General features: G+C 41.3%; 1 pseudogene; it reads right to left on the bottom strand.

Moving 5' to 3' along the window:
* Positions 5,662–6,340, bottom strand: RPL15P9 (ribosomal protein L15 pseudogene 9; annotated as a pseudogene).

The raw sequence follows: 11,231 nt of genomic DNA on the forward strand, positions 1-11,231 counted from the left end.
ATATCTCTCATTGTAAATTTTTTCCATATACTTCCTCTGCTCTTGAATTAATTGGCTGAAAAGTCAAGAGCAAATGAAACCCCATAAACATGTATCTCTGTAGTAGCTGAGAGCGAACCCAATTTCCTGACACAAACATATCATGTAACTGCCATTGAGGGGATCAAGAAACATATAAGGATCATGCCTGAAACTGACAGAGGCTCCAAACAGGGTAGAACATCTAGGTGTCTATAGTAAATCCTTTGACTTCTTTCTGGAGGAAAGGATATATCATCCTCCCATCTCCCCAGAGGAGCATCCTACAGAGGTGCTTCAGCATCTGTGGGTTTTGCCATAGTAGGGAGATGATGGTGAGAATTGTCACCCATCTCACTCACAATGGCCTCTGTGGCCTAGCCACTTTACCTCTTCCACCTCATCTGCTCTCATCTCCTCCCCACTAACTGTGCTCCAACCATATATACCTTCTGGGCATTTTTCAGACAGGCCAGGCATGTTCTGGCCTCAGCTATGCACTTGCTGGTCCCTTTTCCTGTAATACTCTCCCCCAGATATCCTTCCTCACCTCCTTCAGGTCTTTACTGGAATGTCGCCTTCTCCGTGAGACTTCCCCTAACCATCGTAATTAAAAATTGCAATCACCTCCCCCTAACATGTCTTCTACCCCTCCCTGCTTAATGTTTCTCCATACAGCTTACTGCTTACTACTTTTTATTTATCTTACTTACTGCCTGTATTTCCCACTAAACTATAATACCAGGAAGACAAGGGTTTGTGTCTTGTTTGGTCCCACCTACATTCCCAGGGCTGGCCATGTAGTAGGCTCCCAATTTCTATCTGTCTAAGTCATGGACGGACACCCATAAGAAATGGGCATACGAGCCTTGATGGTGCTGGTAGACATGGGGTGGGAAGATTGAAGAACCGTGAGAATTTGAAGGACCTGGTGAGATTCAGCCTATTTCTGACCTGTTAGTCCTGGTTAGGTCTTCTGGGTAACCCCCATGCTGATACTAAATAAGAGCACAGTTTCCTGAAAGCAGTGCCCCAGGAGGATGGCCCAGGAACTCAAGGGTCACTGGGGCAGAGCACACTGTGTGGTGGAAGGGTGTGGACAAGACAGGCTTAGGAGGGTAGGGGCAGAGAGAATGCTGGGACGTGGCAGAAATCAGGGCTGCCTGAATTCCTTGGGAATAGGTAACATCATTTCATACAAAGGTTGTGTGTGTTCTTAGGTGCTTTCTGTACCACCTTTCTTCAGGGGTGCCTAGCCACTTATTGTGGGTTTTCTCCTTGGTCCCCTTCTCTCTATTTTTTACTTTAATTTTTTATTTCTTTTAACTTTCATTTTAAGTTCAGGGGTACAAGTACGGGTTTGTTACATAGGTAAACTGTATCATGGGGTTTGGTGTACAGATTATTTCATCACCCAGGTATGAATCCTAGAACCCATTAGTTATTTGTCCTGAGTCTCTCCCTCCTCCCACCCTCCACCCTCTGAAAGATCACCATGTTTGTTGTTCCCTCTATGTGTCCATGTGTTTTCATCATTTAATTCCCACTTATAAGTGAGAACATGTGGTATTTGGTTTTCTATTCCTCTCTCTCTTTTTAAAAATAGAGATGAAGTCTCGCCATGTTTTACATAATTACATAATTACTATATTAGGAATGCCTTTGCTTGGCCTAACACTTTACTATAAAATGCAAATAATCTTAAGAGGGACAATAGAATATATTTCATCTAGTATTTGTATTTTAACGGAGAGAAGTTTATGACAACTCAGGAGCTAGTTCTGATAAGCACAAGGAGAGAGGATGAGGGCACTGAGCATCTGAAATGACTTGAATTCCTGGCCTTAAGTGATCCTCCCGTCTTGGCCTCCCAACGTGTTGGGATTACAGGCATGAGCCACCACACCCTTCCTATTGTGGGTTTTCTTTATTCTCTATTGGCCAAGGGATGTTCCAGCTTGTTCCACTTGCCTCATCACATGGGGAGTCTTGGTTTACCTTTTGTTTTGTTTTGTTTTGTTTTACAAGTTTCTGTCTCTTTCTTTTATCCAGATAACTTATGCTATCCCAAGAGAAGAATGCTGTCAGGGCTAGAGTGCAATAAAGTAAGGCTGGGGAATAAATGAGCAAAATGATTCCATAGTCCACGGGGCCCTCTGTGTGTGCCCTCTTACGTCACAGTCATTTCAGATGCTCAGTGCCCTCATCCTGTCTCCCTGTGCTTATCAGAACTGGCTCCTGAGTTGTCATAAACTTCTTTCCATTAAAATACAAATACTAGATGAAATATATTCTATCATCCCTCTTAAGTATATTTGCATTTTATAGTAAAGTGTTAGGCCAAGCAAAGGCATTCCTAATATAGTAATTATGTAATTTCAGCATCTGCTGGTTAATGGCGGGACTGTGGAACCTAGTAACTTTGTTTCTGAAATCAGAGTCTAGGCTATTGTGTGCATAGATATGATTGTGGCCTCGGCTAGGGAGACTTCCGCCCTCAAATCTGTACTTTCTCAAGCTGGGGATCCTCAGGGTCTTTGAAAGACAAGTCTGCGTAAAGCAAGTGCTCTGTTTTTGAGTAGAGAATGCAGGGACCATAAAATCTTTAGCCTTCACTTCTCAGAAATCACCACTGATTCCAATAATAACTTCAAATATTCAGTAAATCTCAGGTATAGAAACTGGCCAATTCTTTATCCTTTTTGTCAATTACCAAATGATTACTCTGATAAAGATGGTAAAGACTTCCATCTTTATTCCTCTGTATGGAATGACCAACATTACAACATGATGTACCCACAAATATTTAAAATAAAGAATTTTTGTCCAGGTGCAGTGGCTCATACCTGTAATCCCAGCACTTTGAAAGACCAAGGCTGGTGGAACACGTGAGGTCAGGAATTCCAGACCAGCCTGGCCAACATGGTAAAACCCTGTCTCTACTAAAAATAAAAAAATTAGCCAGGTGTGGTGGTGCATGCCTGTAGTCCCAGCTATGAGGGAAGCTGAAGTAGGTTAATCGCTTGAACCCGGGAGGTGGAGGTTGTGGTGAGCCAAGATAGTGCCACTGCATTCCAGCCTGGGCAACAGAGCAAGGCTCTGTCTCAAAAAATAAATAAATAAATAATTTTTAAAAAACAATAAAAACCATTACAACACGTATGCATTAATATTTCCTGACACCACTAACATATGTACTTTTAACTTTCTTATGGGTTTTCTGAGAACTATTAGTGCATTCTGCAGAGCTGCCTTCCAGGATTTGGAGACTAAAAAGCAGTTAATCATGTAAAATACTTTCTGGATATAGTAATGAAGTCTGGTTTCACTGTATTTTTCTATGTTTACTTAGCAAAAGGCTTAAATGAGCCCACAGTGATAAATGTGGCCAAGTTTCCCTTCCCCTTCATCCCTCTCTTTCCTTCTTCTTTCTCAGGAAATTGGTGTGGAAAATCACTCTGTCCTGGGATGGCAACTCTCCTTGTATCCAGACTTATCCAGAGCTCCCTCTGCTCCCTCTAGGCACATGACTTGAGCTTCATGTGCCACCATGGGCATTGAAATTACAGTTTCCATAAACAGACAGACTGAGGATGAGAAGGGTAGAGGCAAATGCCATCAGCTTCTGTGCCTTGGGCCATGGATCCTATGGAGGCTGGGTTTCTCCCCCTTGCACCCTGTGAAGCTGGTAGCATACATGATTTTAACTTTCTGATGGGTTTTGACACCGTCAATACAGACCTTAGCTCTGCCAAGAACATCAGGCAAGTTCTCATAAGAAGTAGAAAGAAAAAAAAAATCTGGATAGCATTTCTCAATATTTCAAAATCCATGCCCTCCTTGGGAAAAAATAAAATAAAATAAATGATTTGAAATTTCAAAATAAGCACTTTTATTTGGCTTTCCAACTATATACTTTTATCACAATATTGAATATGTTTTGTTTCCAAAACACACATGTGGCCGGACGCAGTGGCTCACACCTGTAATCCCAGCAGTTTGGGAGGCCGAGGCGGGCGGATCCCCTGAGGTTGGGAGTTCGAGACCAGCCTGGTCAATATGGTGAAACCCCATCTCTACTAGAAATACAAAAAATAGTCAGGCATGATGGCGGGTGCCTGTAATCCCAGCTACTTGGGAGACTGAGGTGGGAAAATGGCTTGAACCCAGGAGGTGGAGTTTGCAGTTAGCCGAGATTGAGCCATTACACTCCAGCCTGGATCATAAGAGCGAAACTCTGTTTCATAAAAGCAAGCAAACAAACAAACAAAAAGAAAACACATGCCTCTTTGAAAGTCTAACATCCCCCACAGAGGATCATAGGTCTCAAATGTGGGTGATCTCAGCAGGGGCCCTCTTCCCCCTGGGCTTAGGGGAACAATGGATTTGTCCAGTTCCCTGTTCTGTCTTGGTTTCACCTTTGTTAACATGTCCAGTGTTTTGGTTCCATTTGGTTCTATTAGGAGTGTGTGGCAGGCCGCCCAAGGGAATGGATTTGGCAGTTATGCCAGTGATTTGGTTAAGAAGAACAACCAACTGGAATAATTTGATTTGGTAAGCACATTTTCTTTTCTTTGGCAGGGCAGGTAGGATGCTAGGCAAGCCAAGGGATTATATTTTTATAAGCTTGTTTTTCATTGCAAGCTTGTTATATATCCAAGAGAATTATTTCAACGTGCTGTTTCTTTAGTAGGATAATATCTTTCAAGGATTTCTTTCTACTATTAGTTAAAGAGTAATTTTAAATCAGCAAAATAGTTATTCCTAATAATAATAACTATTATTGGGTCTAATTACTTTATGTATATTATATAATAATAATAATAATAATAATACATTTTTGGAAAGAAAGAAACAGCAGATACAGGAGATATTGAAAGTGAGGAAAGGGAATCAAGTAATATCCAGAATCTTCCTTAAGAAAGGATAGTTAAATATTGCTTATTACCTGAAAACTACATGTCACCTGGGAGCAACAGACCCAAAGGAAGTGAGAATAGGCCGGGATGAGGCAGAAAGAAGTAATGTTAAGCAAGAAAGAAACCTTATGTGATTTTTGGGGGAACGAAGATAATTATAGTGGGGAGAGGTGGAGAGAGGGCAGGCCTGTTTATCTCAGCACGGAACTTGTTAAAAAACACTTTTATTTTTAAACTCAAATTTTACTTTAAAATAAAGTATCATTTTCTTGAATGGAGTTCTGTATATTTAGAAGTTTACTTTGGATCCTCAGATATGTCTACAAACTTATACAGCTATCCCTCTGGGTAGAATGTGCTTAGGAGCATAGGAAAAACCAGTTTGCCTTCTCTGTGGTTATACCCTGTAGATTTTTTTTTTTGAGGATATAAAAACTTTTTTTCAATATTCATGGTATGAAACTAGAAATGATTATTAATTTAAAACATAAAATATTTCCAGGTTTCATTTGACAATATTTATTTAGTTTGAAATATTAAAAAATAAAACGCAAGAAATTTTATAGGAAAGAAACCATCACTTCAAGTGGCAAATTCACCCTTTAGGAATAGTTTGCCTTTAGTTTATAACTATTCAATGCTAATTGCAACAGGAAGATCATCACCAACCTAAATGGTCCCTTAAAATTTACAAAGTGTTCATGTCCAGAATCTTTTCTTTTTCCTGTCCTAAATTGTTTATTAGGTATGAATTGTACAAACTTTACTTGTATTCGCGGTAACGGCGGAGCTAGGGAGTAGCTGCCCAGCGAAACCACCAGTAGTGTGGTGGAGCTTATGGCCCTTCCAAGGCCCCGGCTCTTTCAGCCTGCAGATGTCAGCCTGCGCATCTCCCTGTGCTTGTGGACTGGTTTTTGGTGATCCGTCGGGTGTCAGGATTTCTTCTCATAGCTTTATGGAATGGATCGATGAGGATAACCTCAAAAAATTTGTATGTGGAACCTTCACCAGCCCAGTAAGAATTGAGGATTCTTAGAGCCCCAAAGTGGCGTCCAGCTCGCTCCTCTACAAAGGACTGAAGGCTTCGAGCAAAGTTTAGCTGGTTAACACCATGATGGACAGGCTTGCCGTAAGTTACACCCTTCGGAACTGGACGTTTTCAGCCACCACGGCGAACACGAATCCTACAATCTTGCTTGGCCTTGTAGCCCAGTCGGCGTGCTTTTATCAGGGCAGGTGGGGTGGGGAGCCCTGTGGAAAGCAGACAGCTGGTGGTACTCAGCTGAGCAGCGGACCCTCAGAAGAAAGTGCATGACATCAGACAGTTTCTTTCTCCATAGCTCCCGGATGTACTTGTATGCACCCACCTTGGCTTACCTGATGGTTGCCACCAGATGGAAAGGCATGTCCAGAATCTTAATTAATATTTCAAATAGCTCTTTTTGAAATTGGCAGGGCAGGTAGTATTATTATTCTCATTTTTTCAAATGTGGAAACCACAACAGAAAGAAGTCAAATGACTTGACTACAGTCATCCCACTTTCCATAGAGAAACTAGGACTTCAGTAAAGGCATTCTGATTCCAAATCCTTTTTTCACCATATCATGCTACTTCCTTAACTACCTGTATTTACAAACAGCTGCAGAAGCCCCCGAAATAATTCATTTTGGATGCAGTCCATTTAGGATTCATGGATCCTGGGCACAACCTAACCATACTCTTTCCTTCTTTCCTGCTACCACTCCCCTTCTTTTCACCCACTCCTCAAACACAAATCTAACAAAATATCTGTAACCAAAGGAGGAACTTGTGTGAATAAATATATTTAGGAAACAGATTTCCAAACACTCTGGAGCCTAATAAACAACGATTTTTAAATATGTTTTATGACTGCTCTGGGGTTCCACAGAAACAGATGGACACAGAAGTACTTAGGATGTATTTGGCATGTGATAGGAAGTGATATCATGAGAAGAATGAAAAGGGATGTGAAACACTGAAAGCGTAAGGTAATACAAGTAACAACTTTCCCTGCTGTTGCTTCAAAAGGTCAAAAATATAGCTTCATGCTGTTCCCAGAAATGACCAAAGAATTAAGGAACGACTTATCATATGAAGTATCACACAATGTCTTGTTCTGCCAGGGGTCCGGGCCCCATATCTCAGACAAAGACATCTCAGCTTTTGAATACCCTTCAAAAGCTACCTATTCTCTGCTAGAAAACAGGACTCCAAACCTGCAGAACTGGGCCCACTCTTCCTTTTTCAAGACTAGTACCCACCACCTTGAAGATGAGCTGAGACCTTAAAAAAAAAAAAAAAAAAACACATGCCCACCTCTGGATGTAGCTCCCTGTCCCCTGTCAGCCAGACCAATAAGTAGGGTCAAGTGACAACACAGCTGAGTTGTGTGAGCATTGGGCCTGCGAGGGGAGAAAAAGGACTTAGACCAAATGAGACACAGGATACAGTTCCCATATGCCAGAGTCTCTGGGGAGAAATTACGGAACTGGATTCTGGGTGTGCTGAATTAAGGGGAATTGAATATCATAGACAATATTCAATACAATAAAGAATTTATCAATATGGCAGCCCTCTTCCTTAACACAGGATTTAACACTGGCAGGATCCACTGAAGATGATGCTAATGCATTGCTAGGCTGGCTTTGAAAACTTTGGGAAAATGATGGCTCACGCTCACTTTATTTGAAATTCCACAACTCCACGGTACAAAGTTGAGCAAGGGGATCAAGAGGCTCATGGTAGCAGGCAGGCTGCAGTGGCAGGATATACAATGTAAGGCCAAAAAGTTCACCAACTGGCTATATTCTGTGGGAATGCCAAGGAAGCAGTTTGCCAGACCCATAAGGAATATACTAGTGAGAGGATGCCAGCCAGAGTTGTGGAGTTCAGTGATGTTCTTCGCTGGAGTTCAGGGCTGAGGATAGGAGAAGCTTTACAGAACTGGGATCCCAGAAAGCTGTTGTAATAATGGAAGCCAGGTGGTGGCACTGAAGCTTCAGAAGCCAGGTGGGTGCAATTATGATAATGACCCACACTGTGGAATGGCAATCTTAAGAGCCTGAGCCACCAAGAGCTATGAATATGGTTAACAGTGCATGGTATTCCCAGGGCAAGATAAGTGGGCAGACAATAAGGGTATCATTCCATCTAAACTACAAAAGAAATCAAGAATGGATAATCAGGAGGTTGAATACAGAAATTAAAATGTCACTGTCTCCAGTTTAGATTCCAGACCTAAGCCAATTTTCAGACCCAAAATTCATTGACTAATGGAGTGGCTTGGTCCCCATAAGGATGGATCACTATAACACCACAGCAAGTGGATATATTAATGATTCTTCCTCGTTCCTTCTCAAAGGGATCTACAGCCATTTACACAGGCAACTATATTCTGAAGAAATGGATATACCTTGACATTTTGAGAACTGTTGAACCTAAAGTCTTCCTTGATATTGACAGCCAAAGACTTGAAGCCCCATCATGGCCACTCTAGCAGAGTAGGGGTATATGGGAGGCCAAGCAATGGTGGAATCCTGGCTCGTGTCCAACTCACCTGGAGCCCATGGATTGACAAAGTGTCCAGTTCCCCAGTCTCTGAATGCATGATAGGAGTGGACATACTTGGTAGTTGTCAGAATACTCATTTGGAGTTTTTCACCTGTGCAGTAAAAGCTATCATACAGTGGGAAGCCCAGGTGGAAGTCTCTGAAACTGCCTCCACCGCAATATAGTACACCTAAAGCAATTTCACACACCAAGGGAATTGCAGAAGTTAGTGCCACCCTTAAAGATCCAAAGGATGCCTGGGTGGTAGCCCCTTTTATGTTCTTTAATTTACTGGCAAATGAAACGCATGGCCCCTACATAAACCAGACAGACCTTGGCAGACAGTAGCCCCAATTGCAGCAGGGATTTTTATGTGGAAGTGGGTAGTAGTAGCTTCATGTGTGTGTTAGTCCATTCTTGCACTGCCAATAAAGACATACCTGAGGCTGCGATAATTTATACAGGAAAGAGGTTTAATTGACTCACAGTTCAGCATGGCTGGGGAGGCCTCAGGAAACTTACAATCATGGTGGAAGGGGAAGCAAACACGTCTTTCTTCACATGGCAGCGGGAAGGAGAAGTGCTGAGCAAAGGGGGAAAAGCCCCTTATAAAACCATCAGATCTTGTGAGAACTCACTATCATGACAGCAGCAGTATGGGAGTATCTGCCCCCACAATTCAATCACCTCCCACTGGGTCCCTTCCACAACACATGGGGGTTATGGGAACTATAATTCAAGATGAGATTTGGATGGGGACACAGCCAAACCATATCAATGTGCCTTGAAGAGAGTTGAGAAAGATCAGCACAGCTATAGTCAAAAAAGAGAAACTGAAGAGACCAGAAATATCTTCAAATACAGTTGAATGGTATTAAAGATCCAGCTAAGTTGAAGGCCATGGGATTCTGATGACATCCATTCTCGGAGTATGTGAGTTTTCATGCTTAGGAGCCTAGATAGAGGGTCTGGGCTGCTATATTAGTTTTCTAGGGCTGTGATAGCAAAGTACCAAAAACTGGGTATCTTAAAATGATAGATGTTTATTCTGTCACTGTTTTGGGTGCTGGAAGTTCAAAATGAAGCTGTCAGAAGGGCCATGCTCTCTCTGGAGGCTCTAGGGGAGAATTCTTTCCTGCTAGTTCCTAGCTTCTGGTGGCTCCCAGCAATCCTGGGTGTGGCTTGGCTTGCAGCTGCATAGTCCCAACCTCCATCTACACTTGGAGTTCTTCCTCTGTGTCTTCATATCATTTTCCCTCTGTGCATGTCCGACTTGTGTCTGTGTCCAAATTTCCCTTCTTTTATAAGGACAGCAGTCACTGGATTAGAGCCCACCCTAACACAGCATGACTTCATTAACTTAACTAATCCCATCTGTAAAGATTCAATTTCCAAATAAGGTCCTATTCAAATGTACTTGGGGTTAGGATTTCAACACATCTTTTTGGGGGACACAATTTAAACCATAACTACTGCATAGGTCATGAGGTTAAGACATGATGGAGCCCGGCATGGCAGTGAATGCCTGTCCCAGCTACATGGGAGGCTGAGGCAGAAGGATCAGTTGAGCCAGGAGTTTGAGGCCAGCCTGGGCAACATAGGGAGATCCCTGTCTCTTAAAAAAAAAGAGACATGATGGATGTTGGATGTGATAGACTGGGATAAAAGAAAAGAATTCAAGATCATGTTAAAGAACAGGAGTAGTGGAAATGCAGGTTGGCTGAAAGAATAAGTGGCTCTGGTCAGAAACTAGAGTATTGAAGTTTATATTTTCAGAGGGTAGGCAGTTCCAGGTGGATATTAGATCCAGAGTGGAGCCGTGACCTGCTGAGAAGAGTGAGCAGAAAGATTCTCAGATTTAGCAGGTAAAGGAACATCATGACCATGAACATTAGCATTGCCCATGATCATGGTAGGAGTTAGAGTATGAAGAAATTCTGTGGGCAAGATATAAGTGATATCTGTTAATAATCGGCGGTGATCAGAAGAACACAAGAGAATAATCAGGAAAGAAGGAAAGGACGATATAACCCAAGGATTTCAGGAGTATGAAAAAGGAATAGTCAACAAAGCTCTTAACAGCTTGGTCTACATCCATTTTAATGTCACATATCAGGCTTTCACCTAACGGTTTCAACAGTCACAGATGATCATTGCCCAGATCTGTTATTGCATTAGGGGTTGTAAACAGATGGTATTCCAATTCTATCACTCTTTTGTTATTTATTAGCTGAATTTTGATACAAAGAATAATAGTCTCTCATCAATTATTTGGTTATCCTGAGGTACTATTCAAATAGGAAGAATAAGATAAATGCTTTATTTATTCCATTTATGTATCAATTCTCAGAATAATGAGTTTGTTTCTTACCATATTCCAAAGGTGATAAATCAAAAAGATAAAAATTATTTTTGTTAATTTATGTATTTAAGGTGATCCAAATCAAAATACTAACATGATATTTTAATTATGTCAGTTTATTCTAAGTTCATAAGGAAAAACGAAAAGGTAAAACTTGCTAGAAACACTTCGGGAAAAGAATTATAATGAAGGAAGAGTAGATGTAGCATACATTAAATATGTTACAAGGCTGTAATAATTAAACAATGTGGTTCAGTTATGTAAATATGTCAGTAGAGAACCTCAAAATAGTCTTCAGCACAAATACAATTCAGTACATGATAAAAGAAATATATAATATTTTCCAAAGATGCTTGCAATT

The sequence above is a fragment of the Homo sapiens genome, chromosome 6 (assembly GCF_000001405.40).
Source record: "Homo sapiens chromosome 6, GRCh38.p14 Primary Assembly".
Lineage (NCBI taxonomy): Eukaryota > Metazoa > Chordata > Mammalia > Primates > Hominidae > Homo > Homo sapiens.